Raw genomic sequence first — 17,511 nt, 5'->3', positions numbered from 1 at the left:
ATGCAGATGCAGCAAGAAGGCACCATCTATGAGCCAGAGAGCAGGCCCTCATCAGACATGAAGTCTTCCTTGATCTTGGACTTCCCAGCGTCTAGAACAGTCAGAAATAAATGTCTGTTGTTTACAAGCTACCCAGTTTATGGTGTTATGTTATAGCAGCCCAAACAGACTAAGATAAGCCTCTCATCTGAGCATCCTTCTTTCCTGACAGAATTATTTCTTGCTGGGCTGGACATGGTGGCTCATGCCTGTAATCCCAGCACTTTGGGAGGCTGAGGCAGGTGGATCACTTGAGGTCAGGAGTTTGAGACCAGCTTGGCCAACAGGGAGGAACCCCATCTCCACTAAAAATACAAAAATTAGCCAAGTGTGGTGGCACACACCTGTAGTCCCAGCCAGCAGGAGAATCTCTTGAATCCAGGAGACGGAGGTTACAGTGAGCTGAGATGGCACCACTGCACTCCAGCCTGGGTGACTCCATCTCAAAAGAAAAAAAAAATTATTTCTTGCGGGACTTCCTTTGCCCATTTACTATTACCCCTGTTAAAAATGTTCCTTCTGCTGATCCACACAAACAGCAGCTTTAAACCTGACTCTATCATGAAATGTTTTATTTCTTGTCCATGTCATTTTCTTGGTACAGAATCAAAAGTTGCGTCTAAAGACTTATGTTTGTGATATTTTATGTCTGTGGAACCCTTGCATTACTGTTTAGGATTTGAAGTCTCCACCCCTGGCTTGTTTGCTACTTTGGATCTGGATCTGTTGAGCTTTACTCTTTGGTGTCCATCCTGTTCTTAGCATGGCATCCAACAGAGCCAATGGAGTTCTTGTGCAGTGACTGTTCATGGGATGGCCGCATAGAGAAATGAGTGGAGGGTACTTGTGACCCCTTGTCAATAGTATCCCATCTTCGAGTTGCCTTTATATCAATGAAAAGGAATGTGGCATGGACACTGGATTTAGCACAGCTTGTAAAAGGCACTGCAAAATTCTGCATACCCTTCCTTGGCAGGTTCTAAAACTGTAAAAGAGAAGATACTGTATTAGTCTGGATTCTCTAGAGGGAAAGAACTAATAAAATATATACATACATATATATATGATAGGATATATATATACACTAATATATATACTAATAGGATATATATATATATGTATATATATATATGAGTATATTAAGTATTAACTCACAGGATCACAAGGTCACACCATATGCCGTCTGCAAGCTGAGGAGCAAGGAGAGCCAGTCTGAGTCCCAAAACTGAAGAACTTGGAGTCCAATGTTCAAGGGCAGGAAGCATCCAGCACAGGAGAAAGATGTAGGCTGGAAGGCTAGGCCAGTCTAGTCTTTTCACGTTTTTCTGCCTGCTTTATATTATAGCCATGCTGGCAGCTGATTAGATGGTGCCCACCCAGTTTAAGGGTGGGTCTGCCTTTCCCAGCCCACTGACTCAAATGTTAATCTCCTTTGGCAACATCCTCAGAGACACACCCAGAATCAATACTTTGTACCCTTCAATCCAATCAAGTTCAGTATTAACCATCACAGATACAGACTGTCATAGTGAAATCCACAGTCCAAATGTTCCAGCTTGGGTAACAGAGGAACAAGAGCCAAGTGAGAAGGAAAGGGGTCCTAGAAGCTATGTGGTAACCTTATTCATATATTTACCTGACTAAAATCTAAAAATAGCCCTTCCTTAGCTGACACCCCACCCACAGACAACTGTTGAGAACTTGTAACACTGATCTTTAAGATTCACACAGAAGAACAGGGTCACTTTTATTAAGACAAAACACATAGCTCTCTGTAGTTTTTAGCAAAGCAGGACAAGTTTGGTGTGGCTGTTGAAGAAGCAAGGTGGGCCTTTTGCTTTGGGGATTCATAGCTCTCTTCCCGTACAAGAAGCCTGCTCTTTGTAGAAAATGCCAGACTCTACATCAACACAGCTACAGTCCACAGTTTTATCTGAGCACAAATGAAGAAGGCTGGTGTTTCCAACAGAGTGTTCACTAAATTCTAAGGGATATAAAAAGGCAAAACTGGAGGAAAAAAGAGAGAAAAGGACAAGAGAAAAGAAGAAAAGGGAAAAGTGTGAGGTGTATATAAGTCTCTAAAATTACAGTGCCCTGGAAGATGACAGAGTGGTGGGTGTTAGCATGGGCTTTGGTGTCAGCCTTGCCAGGCTGAGGGACCCACCCTGGTCATCACCTCACCCACATCTTGCCCACTTTGGACTGGGGCCCTTGGCAGCCATGTTGCCTGGCTTCCCTTCTCCCAGCTCCTTTCTGCCTACTTACTGCCTTTTTTTTTTTTCCTGCTTTCTGAGTGTTAAGTACCTAGATTGTCATTTCTTCCAACAAGATAAAAAATCCACATGCTCATTCATTTAGTAACCCGAGCCCTTTCTTTGTGTTCTTAACTCTAGGAATGTCATCTTGAGTTGACTGGCAGGACAGTGGCTCTGACTAGATAATCATGGTAATGTATGTCCTCATTCAGATATGTCTGTCTTTCTACCTTCATTGTTTCATGTAACTCTCCTGAATAAAGCTTGTTACTTGTTCCTGGGAACATAAAGCTGAAAAAGACAAATTCAAGATCTCAAAGTATTTACAGTGTAGGATGCAGAGAGTTAGTAACTATAGAGAGCGGTGCTAAGTGTTAGGGAGGAGAGACACATCAGATATTCAGATAGCAAAAAAAGACTCGTCTAAATTATTCGGGTGCTGTGGGGTTATAGACGGCTTCTAAAAGGATGTAAAATTCTCACTATGTTTCACACATAGAAAAAACAATATTATTTCAGCAGGAAATGTACTCGATTACCACTCCCCCCAAAAAAACCGCACAAACATAATTCTTTGATAACTGCATTGTTTGTGTCTTACACCCAGCAAGTTGGAAATGTAAGGGCATTTCTTAAGCACCTGCCTTCCTGGGTCATTCCTCTGGGAAATTAGACATAGCCTAAGGGTATGCATTAGCTTTTCTCAGGGCTGCCATAACAAAGGACCACAGACTGGGTGGCTTAGCAACAGAAACTTACTTTCTTTTTTTTTTTTCATTTTAAATATAATTTAATTGTAAGATTCCACAACTTAATTTTTAATAACGTCTGTGTTAACAATTGACTATAAAGTTCTGAAAAATTTAACAATTACCTTTCAGAAGTTGATGAGAGTCAGCTCTGACACATTACTACACAAAATCCTAGTATAGTGACTTAAACACAACACATTTCCTTTGTTTTGTGTGACAGGAAGTTCAGGGATGAGCATCTGAGGGCTGGTGGCTCATCAGGAACCAAGACTCTTTTCTTCTGCTCTGATGTCCCAAGCACAATATCACCACCGATCCCACAGAAATACAAACTACCATCAGAGATTACTACACACACCTCTATGCAAATAAACTAGAAAATCTAGAAGAAATGGATAAATTCCTCGACACATACACTCTCCCAAGACTAAACCAGGAAGAAGTTGAATCTCTGAATAGACCAATAACAAGAGCTGAAATTGTGGCAATAATCAATAGCTTACCAACCAAAAAGAGTCCAGGACCAGATGGATTCACAGCCGAATTCTAACAGAGGTACAAGGAGGAACTGGTACCATTCCTTCTGAAACTATTCCAATCAATAGAAAAAGAGGGAATCCTCCCTAACTCATTTTATGAGGCCAGCATCATCCTGATACCAAAGCCGGGCAGAGACACAACCAAAAAAGAGAATTTTAGACCAATATCCTTGATGAACATTGATGCAAAAATCCTCAATAAAATACTGGCAAACCGAATCCAGAAGCACATCAAAAAGCTTATCCACCATGATCAAGTGGGCTTCATCCCTGGGATGCGAGGCTGGTTCAATATACACAAATCAATAAATGTAATCCAGCATATAAACAGAACCAAAGACAAAAACCACATGATTATCTCAATAGATGCAGAAAAGGCCTTTGACAAAATTCAACAATGCTTCATGCTAAAAACTCTCAATAGATTAGGTATTGATGGGACGTATCTCAAAATAATAAGAGCTATCTATGACAAACCCACAGCCAATATCATACTGAATGGGCAAAAACTGGAAGCATTCCCTTTGAAAACTGGCACAAGACAGGGATGCCCTCTCTCACCACTCCTATTCAACATAGTGTTGGAAGTTCTGGCCAGGGCAATTAGGCAGGAGAAGGAAATAAAGGGTATTCAATTAGGAAAAGAGGAAGTCAAATTGTCCCTGTTTGCAGATGACATGATTGTATATCTAGAAAACCCCATTGTCTCAGCCCAAAATCTCCTTAAGCTGATAAGCAACTTCAGCAAAGTCTCAGGATACAAAATCAATGTACAAAAATCACAAGCATTCTTATACACCAATAACAGACAAACAGAGAGCCAAATCATGAGTGAACTCCCATTCACAATTGCTTCAAAGAGAATAAAATACCTAGGAATCCACCATACAAGGGACATGAAGGACCTCAAGGAGAACTACAAACCACTGCTCAATGAAATAAAAGAGGATACAAACAAATGGAAGAACATTCCATGCTCATGGGTAGGAAGAATCAATATCGTGAAAATGGCCATACTGCCCAAGGTAATTTATAGATTCAATGCCATCCCCATCAAGCTACCAATGACTTTCTTCACAGAATTGGAAAAAACTGCTTTCAAGTTCATATGGAACCAAAAAAGAGGCCGCGTCGCCAAGTCAATCCTAAGCCAAAAGAACAAAGCTGGAGGCATCACGCTACCTGACTTACCAAACTATACTATAAGGCTACAGTAACCAAAACAGCATGGTACTGGTACCAAAACAGAGATATAGATCAATGGAACAGAACAGAGCCCTCAGAAATAATGCCACGTATCTACAACTATCTGATCTTTGACAAACCTGAGAAAAACAAGCAATGGGGAAAGGACTCCCTATTTAATAAATGGTGCTGGGAAAACTGGCTAGCCATATGGAGAAAGCTGAAACTGGATCCCTTCCTTACACCTTATACAAAAATCAATTCAAGATGGATTGAAGACTTAAACGTTAGACCTAAAACCATAAAAACCCTAGAAGAAAACCTAGGCATTACCATTCAGGACATAGGCATGGGCAAGGACTTCATGTCTAAAACACCAAAAGCAATGGCAACAAAAGACAAAATTGACAAATGGGATCTAATTAAACTAAAGAGCTTCTGCACAGCAAAAGAAACTACCATCAGAGTGAACAGGCAACCTACAAAATGGGAGAAAATTTTCACAACCTACTCATCTGACAAAGGGCTAATATCCAGAATCTACAATGAACTCAAACAAATTTACAAGAAAAAAACAAACAACCCCATCAAAAAGTGGGGGAAGGACATGAACAGACACCTCTCAAAATAAGACATTTATGCAGCCAAAAGACCCATGAAAAAATGCTCACTATCACTGGCCATCAGAGAAATGCAAATCAAAACCACAATGAGATACCATCTCACACCAGTTAGAATGGCAATCATTAAAAAGTCAGGAAACAACAGGTGCTGGAGAGGATGTGGAGAAATAGGAACACTTTTACACTGTTGGTGGGACTGTAAACTAGTTCAACCATTGTGGAAGTCAGTGTGGTGATTCCTCAGGGATCTAGAACTAGAAATACCATTTGACCCAGCCATCCCATTACTGGGTATATACCCAAAGACTATAAATCATGCTGCTATAAAGACACATGCACACGTATGTTTATTGCGGCACTATTCACAATAGCAACGACTTGGAACCAACCCAAATGTCCAACAATGATAGACTGGATTAAGAAAATGTGACACATATACACCATGGAATACTATGCAGCCATAAAAAATGATGAGTTCATGTCCTTTGTAGGGACATGGATGAAATTGGAAATCATCATTCTCAGTAAACTATCTCAAGAACAAAAAACCAAACACCGCATATTCTCACTCATAGGTGGGAACTGAACAATGAGAACATATGGACACAGGAAGGGGAACATCACATTCTGGGGACTGTTGTGGGGTGGGGGGAGGGGTGAGGGATAGCATTGGGAGATATACCTCATGCTAGATGATGAGGTAGTGGGTGCAGCGCACCAGCATGGCACATGTATACATATGTAACTAACCTGCACATTGTGCACATGTACCCTAAAACTTAAAGTATAATACTAAAAAAAAAAAATAAATAAATTAAAAAAAGACAAAAAAGGTCCACAAGCCAACAAATGAGGGTGGCTTCTAGAGCTGGAAAAGGCAAGGAACCAGATTCTCCCCTAAGGCCTCCAGAGGGAGTCCATTCCTCCTAACAAAGCACTTCCTGTCTCCAGAACAGTAAGATAACAAATGTGCATTGTTTTTAGCCGCTGTTGTTTTGCTTTAAGTTTTGTGAAAATTCAGTACGGCAGCAATAGGAAACGAATACAGTGTCTTTTACCAAATAAACACACTTCACCCTTTTCCTGCTCCCTTGTTGCTCCATGGCATGCAGACATGGAGTGGATGGCAGCCACCTCGCAATCTGGAAGCCATTTGAAGGAGGATGAAACTTACTTTCTCAAAGTTCTGGAGGCTAGAAGTCTAAGATCAAGGTTTCAGCAGGGTCGATATCTTCTGAGGCTTCTCTCCTTGGCTTGTAGATGGTTGTCTCCTCTCTGCCTTCACAGGGTCTTCCTTCTGTACCAGTTTGTGTCCAAATTTTCTCTTCTTCTAAGGATGCCAGTTGTAATGAAGTAGGACCACTCTAGGGACCTCATCCTAACTTAATTACCTCTTTAAAGCCTTCCCTGTAATTGCAGTCACATTCTGAGGAACTTGGGATTGGTGCTTCAACCCATGAATTTTTGGTGGACACAATTAGGCCCATCACAGGATGATGGAGGTGTGTACTTCAGAGCCAGACCAACACGATTTCAAATCCAAGCTCAAGTTGTGATCTGAAGGGATCTTTATGGTCTCTGGCCTCAGTTCTGTCTATTAGGAAGTAAGATTAATGAGAATTTGCGAGGGATGTGCTACACTTAGCACTAGCTAGTGCCTGATAAATTGCAGCAACTTGATAAACGGTAACAGTTATTCCATTGCTAATGCTCAGTGTCACCAATGATAGTTGATGATGCTTCTCTGGGCAGCAGATCCTCTCTTACTATTACTTCTTCCTTCTGTGCTACGTTTTTAATCCCTGGAGCCTTTTGATAGACACGTTTGCCCAGCAGATTCCTCTGGCTCTTATCAGGACAGTTTGGAACAATGAAACATTTTCTAGCCTCCCTTTTGTCTCAGGTCCAGGCACTGATCCTGCACTGTGACAACATTTTCTTGACCCTTACTGGAAATAAGAAAAAAAAAAGATAAAGAGAAAATTGTGGTCTTCGCCTTCCAGTAATGTAATGGAGTCTTTTTCCTTGGGGTTTGGCAGAAAGAGGCACTGGTGGCAGCATGACAGGGTCATGCCCTCCTGCTCATGGTTGCTGTTCCACTTGAGGCCCCCCTAAACATAGATGAGGGCCATGGGGAGCCCACAATACAACCTGTCATCAGGAAGCCCTGGGAAACACAAATTGTGTTTTGGAATAAAACAAACAAACACCAGCATTTGAATACCCTCACGCCCAAGGTCATTTGTGTCACCCACTTGGCCTGCGGGACCCCAGGGAAACATAAAACCAGTGAGCAGCCCTTTGATCTCACACCTTCTTTGGACCATTTTAATCAATTAACCATGAAGTCCCTCCACTTCGCTTATGCAGACCTCTATATAAAATGACTTTGGTCTGGCTGACACGTTACTGCATCCGAGATCAAAGACTGTAGCAAATGCCAAATTCAGCCAGGATAATTCTGAGCCTTTTTTCCCAGCCCACTCCTCTCCCAGCTCTTAGAAGCACTTTTCTTGCAAGGTCAGAAAGGGGAGATTTTGAATGCTGATGGACAAAAAAACGAGCTTCGTGAGGATGTGAGGAGACCATCAGTACAAGAGGCGAGGTGGTGGCTAGCAGAGGAGGCTGGGATGCACTCAGCTAAAACAAAGTACATTTTAAAAGTTAATAATGCCCATAGAAGAAAAAAATGAAAAATGCTTTCTGAAGTAATTTGAAGAGTGGCCTCCTGTTTAGTTATGAGATTTAGATCTCTGGAAGCAGGCACTGAATCCCCTGGACTCAGGATTGCAGCCTAACCTAATCACCCGCTATTAGTGATATATGGCACCGTCATTCTCGGGAATAAAACTCCTTCCCATGTGTGTGTGCATTAGTGAGCAAGTGTGGGGGTGGAACTGTGCTTCCCACCATTTTACCACAAAGGGAAAGTTGAGAATGATCATTTGTGGTGACCCTACTGTGTCTTGGGCTAGTGCTAGGAATTTTATGTATTATCTAAATGTCTGTCATCACAATAACTCTGGGGAAGGCAGAATATATTATCTTCATTTCTCAGATGATGAGCCCAAATCTGAGAGCAGTTCACAGGCTTACTGGTGGTCAGACACTGACCTCCAAACCCCACCTCTTTAATAATACCTACTTGTCATCACACACTTGTGTAATCTTTCACCTGTGGGCTTCATCTTGTGAAATATTTGGTCCACCATACCCCCTGAAATAATTTATTTTCTTGATTTCAAGTACAGACATCTATAACTGTTGATCAGAGCTCTCGGTCAGCATGAGCTAACCAGTGTCAGGATACTCAGCTCATAAATTGCCAGTCAAAAGCAAAGGAAGTGCAGACTCACCACAGGAAAATAAGTTACACCTACCTGAAAGATGGAAAATATTAATAATTATAATTCTTGATTAAGCACCTTTTATGGACCACTCATGGCTGTGGGCACCTTGCTCATATTATCATTAATCTTTCCTATGGTCCTGTGACACAGACATCCCTATCCCCACTTTATATATATGATGGATAAAGAAGAAGGAGAAAGACTTAGTGTTTCTCAGCTAGTAACTGGGATTTGAATTTCTAGTTCCTTTCATACAACTTCTTAATCTTTATTAATTATCTTCTTAGAATCCCAGAGTTTGAGAATACAGACTATGAAGGCTTAAATGTAGGAGGTGCTATTACTACTTTGAAGAAAATGTGATACTCTTAAAAGGCTCTTCCAACATTTGAACATTTCTGCAGGGTAGAGAGATCTCACTGAGCTACTGTGGTGTGGCCCTTGGCTGGATGTGAATGACCAGTGGATTCCCAACCTGAGAAGCTTCGTGAAGCCAGCACCAAAGCAGTTAGTGAACCATTAAGTTGAATTCTTATTTCATATGAAAGTATCTCCTAATGCTGGTTCCAATAGGAAAACAACAACAACAACAAGAATTTAGAAGCTTTAAAAAATAAGTGACTCTATATACTGTCAAACTCAGAAAAATAAAAATTATGAAAGAGCAAAGTAAAATAAACTTTCAATTCAGTTCCAAGAAAAGTCAAGAAGCTGGAAACATATCCAGAGTCCACATGTGCAGAGCTGAGCCACAATCATTATACAAAGCAAAGTGGAAAGTTTGGGGTGAGCTTTGGAAAGGAAGAGAGCCTGGTTCTGTGGCTTGGAGATTGTGGTCCAGAGAGCTGGGTATGGAAAGAGCCCCCTACATCATGTCATTCTTAACAGCACATGTGGTAGGGACCAGGGTTAGAAGCACTGAGTGAACTAGGAAAAGCAGATGTCTGTGTGGTCAGGGGGCAACTTAGTTGGTCAAGAATTCTGAAAAATAAGAAGGTAGTTTTGGCTTATGATCCAGTAGGAAACCAGCGAAGGGAGGTGTTTCCGATATAGGAACCAAACCATGGGATGAGGATGCTCTCACTGCTCTGGTTGGGTTTGGAATCTCTCTTTTGAGGAGACAGCAGCATCTTGAACCAAAAAGAAATTCATCTTCAGCTTAAGTGCTGCACATAGGAAATGGGACAGAACCATCAATAATAGCTAATAGCTATTGAGTGTTTAATAAGTGCTGATTCTAATCACTGGATATAGTTGAAGCCATTATACCCTCATAGTAACCCTGTGACGTGAACACTGTAGATGAGGAAACTGAGACACTAAGACTGGCAAATTGACCTGCCTAAGGTCACATGATAGACATATGCTAGAGTTGAGGTTTGACAGTCAGGCCCTGGACATCAGAGGTAGTTCACTAAGCCACTGTATTTCAGTGACTTCCACTGCATATTAGAGCCCTAATGCAGTCACACAGCTGCTGTTCAATCTACATTCTTTTCAGTAGGTTAGGGAATTTTACTCCAGGGTGAGGAAGACAATTGGGTATTTCCTTATCATTGTGTTTAATTTTTGCTTAATGTGAATATACTTCTCAAAAACATAAAAATTAGGGATTGGAGCACAGTTCTGATATAATGACTATGTGATTGCCTTAAATGAATTATATTAACCAAATTTCGCTGAACTTAGATTTCTCTGGGAAGGAGCTGCCCCACAGATGAATAAACTGGAGACTCAGACACTGAGACAAAGCAGCTGATTCCTTAAGGTTAGCTCTAAAGGTGAGGTGAGTACCTACCTGGGCAGCTACTAGGCATCAAGCACCCAGATTAGGGCATTACCCACATCAATATCAAGGTCACCCACCCCCTGAGGAAAAGAGAACTGGGATGGCATCACCATTCAAACATGGGTCTATTTTATTCTCATATGGGTACCTTTTCCACGTATCATAGTATCACACAAAGGCAAAAGAAAATTTAAAAATGGAAACTTCGTAGGCTCTGGTCAGAGCACATGACCTTAGTATCCTGTTCTTCAATTCTCACTGAAAGTTCAACTGTGACAAAAAAGGAATTCAATATTCATGGATGATAAACTAAAGCAGAGGTCTCTCAAAGTTAAATTTTGTTTATTGTGGTAAAATATACATAATATAAAATTTAACATTTTAACTATTTTAAGTGTGTAATCCAGTGGCATTAAATATATTTAGATTGTTGTACAACCATCACTTCCATCCATCTCCAGAACTTTTTCATCTTCCCCAGTGAGTCTATGTATCCATTACATAACTCCCCATTTCTGCCTTCTACCAGCTCCTGGTAACCACTACTCTATTTTTTGTCTCTATGAATTTGACTCTTCTGGGTACCTCATATAAGTAGAATTATACAATACTTGATCTTTTGGGTCTGAATTATTCATGTAGCATAGTGTCTTCAAAGTTCATCTATGTTAAAGCAGGTATGAGAAATTCTTTCCTTTTTGAGGCTGATAGTATTCCATTGTATGTTGTATATACATCTCGCTTTTCTATTCATCTGTATATGGACTTGGGTTCCTTCCACCTTTTGGCTATTCCTGTTTTCTGATATAAGTTAAATAAATATTGTAGTATATTTTATTTTTATGGATATACTTATTTTTAAATTGATTTTATGTATGTTGACTAGGAAAATACATACATTTGGGAACCAAGTAAAAACACAAAAGTATGAAATAAAAATAAATATTGCTGAAAGTTGTAAATATTGTCTCCCCTTTTTTCCTGGATTATTTTGCACATATCTTGGGGTGTTTGATTCCCTTCTTGGGGGACACAGGCACCAAGGATGTGTTCATTCATTCCTGTGGATCTTTGAATGTTATTCTTTGGTCAAGTTAAATAATCAGAGAGCTGGTTATTTGGCCTTCATTTTGTTGACCCTTATAGAACTGAACTTTTTTCAAATTTTATTTTGGTTGTATGTCGCTGAAGGAAATTACAACAAGAGACAGTTCTAGAAAATTTGTTACTCATTTGAGGTTACTTTGGTTGAGAATGTGACTCACTTCCTAAACCATTGTCTCTTTTATAAAATTTCTCTCAAGTTTCAGTGTCAGGAAATTCTGGGTTTCTCTGGACACCTGATATGTTTTCATTTTCTGTATGTGAGCTATGATCACATTATCCACTTTTGGGGCCATTCCATTGCTCAGAATTTAATGTATCAGCTTCCTTACCATTTTTTCAAGACCTTAAGACAGCTGTGCATTAAATACTCTGATTTTCTCTTGTTGGTCAAACCTCATTTCATTTTACTCTTATTTATCTCATTAGACAAATCACATTAAGAGAGCTACTATTCATTGAGCTTGTACTATGTACCAGGCATATTTTGGGGGACTTTGCATGTATTACTTATTTCTAACAATTACATTCTAAGACACATACTATTTTCTAAATTTTAGTGATGAGGAAAACCAGATATGTTTGACTCCAAAGCTAGTGTTTGCTATCCGCTTATTATCATAGATGTCATTTGGTAACCCACTTCTACCACAGGTGCAGTTTAGAAACCAAGCCTTATAAATCAATGAATCAAGGAGGATAAATCTAACAATTCCCAAATTCTAGACTCTATGTGCATAAACAGTGTCTCATGGACTATAGAAACAAACAAACAAAAAAATCATTTTAAATCCCTCCTCTGACATTCCTAGACCAGCCACCAGGACAATTCCAAACAAGGCAAAGACTAGCTACCTATTTCCAAACTCATTTCCTGTATCTCCCAGGAAACAGCTAAATTTCCTTTCCCAGCTTCCCTTGCTGCAGGTGTGGCCATGTGACTGAGTTCTAGCTAATTAGATGTCCCATAAAGCCCTCCCTGGACATACTCTGTGCTTCCTCTTCTTCCTCCAGGGAGACACACATTGTCACCAAAATCTATAGAGAATGATGGAGCCACAGGGTAGAAGGAGCCCGGGTCTTGGCTTCTCACTGGCTTTGAAATCCATGTGTTACCACAAAGGGGTCCCAATCCAGACCCCAAGAGAAAGTTCTTGGATTTCACACAGGAAAGAATTCAGGGTAAGTTCACTGAGTAAAGTGAAAACAAGTTTAGTTATTGTATATCTAGAAAACCCCATTGTCTCAGCCCAAAATCTCCTTAAGCTGATAAGCAACTTCAGCAAAGTCTCAGGATACAAAATCAATGTACAAAAATCACAAGCATTCTTATACACCAATAACAGACAAACAGAGAGCCAAGTCATGAGGGAACTCCCATTCACAATTGCTTCAAAGAAAATAAAATGCTTAGGAATCCAACTTACAAGGGATGTGAAGGATCTCTTCAAGGAGAACTACAAACCACTGCTCAATGAAATAAAAGATGATACAAACAAATGGAAGAACATTCCATGCTCATGGGTAGGAAGAATCAATATCGTGAAAATGGCCATACTGCCCAAGGTAATTTACAGATTCAATGCCATCCCCATCAAGCTACCAATGACTTTCTTCACAGAATTGGAAAAAACTACTTTAAAGTTCATATGGAACAAAAAAAGAGCCCGCATCGCCAAGTCAATCCTAAGCCAAAAGAACAAAGCTGGAGGCATCACACTACCTGACTTACCAAACTATACTATAAGGCTACAGTAACCAAAACAGCATGGTACTGGTACCAAAACAGAGATATAGATCAATGGAACAGAACAGAGCCCTCAGAAATAACGCCGCATATCTACAACTATCTGATCTTTGACAAACCTGAGAAAAACAAGCAATGGGGAAAGGATTCCCTATTTAATAAATGGTGCTGGGAAAACTGGCTAGCCATATGGAGAAAGCTGAAACTGGATCCCTTCCTTACACCTTATACAAAAATCAATTCAAGATGGATTAAAGACTTAAACGTTAGACCTAAAACCATAAAAACCCTAGAAGAAAACCTAGGCATTACCATTCAGGACATAGGCATGGGCAAGGACTTCATGTCTAAAACACCAAAAGCAATGGCAACAAAAGCCAAAATTGACAAATGGGATCTAATTAAACTAAAGAGCTTCTGCACAGCAAAAGAAACTACCATCAGAGTGAACAGGCAACCTACAAAATGGGAGAAAATTTTCGCAATCTACTCATCTGACAAAGGGCTAATATCCAGAATCTACAATGAACTCAAATTTACAAGAAAAAAAACAAACAACCCCATCAAAAAGTGGGCAAAGGATATGAACAGACAATTCTCAAAAGAAGACATTTATGGAGCCAAAAGACACATGAAAAAATGGTCATCATCACTGGCCATCAGAGAAACGCAAGTCAAAACCACAATGAGATACCATCTCACACCAGTTAGAATGGCAATCATTAAAAAGTCAGGAAACAACAGGTGCTGGAGAGGATGTGGAGAAATAGGAACACTTTTACACTGTTGGTGGGACTGTAAACTAGTTCAACCATTGTGGAAGTCAGTTTGGTGATTCCTCAGGGATCTAGAACTAGAAATACCATTTGACCCAGCCATCCCATTACTGGGTATATACCCAAAGGACTATAAATCATGCTGCTATAAAGACACATGCACACGTATGTTTATCGCGGCAGTATTCACAATAGCAAAGACTTGGAACCAACTCAAATGTCCAACAATGATAGACTGGATTAAGAAAATGTGGCACATATACACCATGGATATACACATATATACATGCATATACACATATATGATATACACATGCATATACACATATATGCAGCCATAAAAAATGATGAGTCCATGTCCTTTGTAGGGACATGGATGAAATTGGAAATCATCATTCTCAGTAAACTATCGCAAGGACAAAAAACCAAACACCACATGTTCTCACTCATAGATGGGAATTGAACAATGAGAACACATGGACACAGGAAAGGGAACATCACACTCTGGGGACTGTTGTGGGGTGGGGGGAGGGGGGAGAGATAGCATTAGGAGATATACCTAATGCTAAATGACGAGTTAATGGGTACAGCACACCAGCATGGCACATGTATACATATGTAACTAACCTGCACATTGTGCGCATGTACCCTAAAACTTAAAGTATAATAATAATTAAAAAAAAAAGAAAAAAGAAGTAATAAAAAAAAAGAGAAGAAACAAAAGAATAGCTACTCCATACAGAGCAACCCTGAGGGCTGCTGGTTGGCTATTTTTATTGTTATTTCCTGATTATATGCTAAACAAGTTTTGGATTATTCATGAGTTTTTTCAGAAAGGGGTGAGGATTCCCCTCTCTTAACTGAGGGTTCCTCCCCTTTTTAGACCATATACTTCTGGGCATTGCCATGGCATTCGTCAACTGTCATGGCTCCTGGTGGGAGTGCCTTTTAGCATGCTAATGCATTATAATTGGCATATAGTTAGCAGTGAGGACAACCACAGGTCACTTTCATTGCCATCTTGGTTTTGGCAGGTTTCAGCTGGCTCCTTCACCGCATCCTGTTTTATCAGTGGGGTCCTTGTGACCTGTATCTTGTCCTGACCTCTGACCTCATCCTGTGCCTAAGAATGCCTAAACCTCCTGAAAATGCAGCCCAGCAGATTTCAGACTCCTTGTACATAGCCCCTGTTCAAGATGAAGTGGCTGACTCTGGTTCTAATGCCTTTGACACACGCTGATGAAGAACACCCTTTTTTGTTGTTGCTGTTTTACCTGAGTAGGAAACTGAGTTCTATTTTGGAAAGCCTCTGAGATGTGGAGTTTTTTTTTTTATTATTATTATGGTGGCTAATTTCCTTTTCTATAAATTAGAGATTCAGTATTTATTCCACAGGGTTATTGTGAAGATTAAGTGAGACAATGTATGTAAATATGGTGTCTGGGATCTAGTAGGTGTTCCATTAGTTATTGTAATTATTGTGATGATTTTTATGTAACTCAAGTATCCTCATGTTGTACAGCTTTCTGAGTAGCCCTCTGTCTTTCAGGAAATCTAGTCTCCTCCCAGGATTCCTGAGTATCTGTAGGGGAATCTGCATTTGAATTTTCTTATAAATTGTCCTTCCCACATTTCTTCCTGATTACCTTGGGTCACATCCTTACTTCACTTCCTAATGCTTTAGCCTTCCTTAGTTTGCCTTATCCTACACTTTATTCAGAAAGGCAGTGCTAACATAAAGCTGATACTGTGTATCACTGAAGACTTTAGAATTGGGTAAGGGAATAGATCACAACTCAGAAAACTTTCAGATGGTTGTTGGACTTCATTTCTCTGAACATTTCTTAGCCAGGTTCCATCTCACAGGTTTTCTTTGGGTCATGTCTGTCTTTAGAACTTGGTCTACAGTATTATTCAAATCAGAGTCCTCTGCCTTACAGTTTCTTCCCAAGGTCAAGGCCCTTAAAACGCTATGCCTGACCTCTGGAGAAAAAAAAAATAGAAGTATCTTAACAATCACAAATCTCTAAGCACAGAAAAATCCACCCTAACCAGAAAAACTACTATCTCTGTCTGCCCTCCCAGCCTTTTCACATGATTAAATATCACATTCTAGTTTGCGGTATTTGAATTAGGGTTTCCTCATCAAAAGGCAAGGCTACCACAAAGTGAGAGAATAGACCCCTGACTTACATGTTCATGACAGGAGGATTTACCAAAGCGATCCCTTCCGGAAAAAGGGGAAGAAAAACTTGGCTTCCAATTTTAGAGTGACAAGCAAATACCCTATAGTTCTAGAATCTTCCTTTTGTCCTTGTGTCTACCTGCCTTCTATTCTTCCAATTCTCCAGTTCTTTTTGCCTTAGAACTTTAACACAAGCTATCAGCCTAAAAAAATCTGTCATTAGGTTGCAAATATGACTCTTTGTCATTCAGTACAAATGCTGCCTTCCTAGAGAAACCATGGCAACACCATTCTTGCTAAGTAAACACAAATCTCCCCAACCTGCCCAGACTTTATGCACCCTGAACATTTTTACCAGCTTGTTTTCTATAGTACCTACCATTATCTAGAGCAGCACTGTCCAGTGGAATTTTCTGTAATTATGGAACTGCTCTTAATCTGCACCAATATGAAAGCTATAAGCCACACATGGCTAGGGAGCACTTGAAATGTGCTGGCTTTTTTATGGGTCCTGTCATTAACCCACATGAATGGAATCTTAAAAATTTTTTTTTGTTTTATTTCAATAGTTTTTGGGAACAGGTGATTTTTGCTTACTTGGATAATTTCTTTAGTGGTGCTTTCTGAGATTTTGGTGTACCCATCAACCAAGCAGTTTACACTGTACCCAGTGTATAGTCTTTCATCCCTCAATCCCTTTCCACTCTTCCCTCTGAGTCCCAAAGTGCATTGTGTCATTCTTATGCCTTTGCATCCTCATAGCTTATCTCCCACTTATACATGAGAACACACGATATTTGGTTTTCCATTCGTGAGTTACTTCACTTCGAATAATGGTCTCCGACTCCATCCAGGTTGTGGCAAATGCTATTATTTTGTTTCTTTTTATGGATGAGTAGTATTCCATGCTGTATATAAACCAAATTTTCTTTATGTGCTCCTTGGTTGATGGGCATTTTGGCTGGTTCCATATTTTTGCTATTGCGAACTGTGCCACTATAAACATATGTGTGCAAGTGTACTTTTATATAATGACTTATTTTTCTTCTGGGTACATACCCAGTAGTGAGATTGCTGGATCAAATGTTAGTTCTACTTTTAGTTCTTTAAGGAATCTCCATGTTTTCCATAGTGGTCATACTAGTTTACATTCCCATCAGCAGTGTA

General features: G+C 39.9%; 1 long non-coding RNA gene across 1 annotated transcript, besides 1 other annotated feature; it reads right to left on the bottom strand.

Annotated features, from left to right (window-relative positions):
• LOC105374515 (uncharacterized) lies at positions 595 to 16,421 on the bottom strand. The gene is made up of 2 exons (XR_925451.1): positions 16,353 to 16,421; positions 595 to 1,024 (listed from the first exon to the last, which is right to left on the bottom strand). It is a non-coding gene; the product is annotated as an uncharacterized LOC105374515 (long non-coding RNA).
• Positions 668 to 843: a silencer, noted in NCBI's record as "fragment chr4:20675647-20675822 (GRCh37/hg19 assembly coordinates)". NCBI's record gives its function as "represses an EF-1alpha promoter that drives an FKBP-Casp9 reporter gene in an ReSE screen in K562 erythroleukemia cells {active_cell/tissue: K562}" and the evidence as "EXISTENCE:reporter gene assay evidence [ECO:0000049][PMID:32094911]".
• Positions 16,422 to 17,511: the final 1,090 nt, after the last annotated feature.

This window comes from Homo sapiens, chromosome 4 (genome assembly GCF_000001405.40).
Source record: "Homo sapiens chromosome 4, GRCh38.p14 Primary Assembly".
Classification (NCBI taxonomy): domain Eukaryota; kingdom Metazoa; phylum Chordata; class Mammalia; order Primates; family Hominidae; genus Homo; species Homo sapiens.
This window is presented reverse-complemented; position numbering and strand designations above follow the sequence as displayed.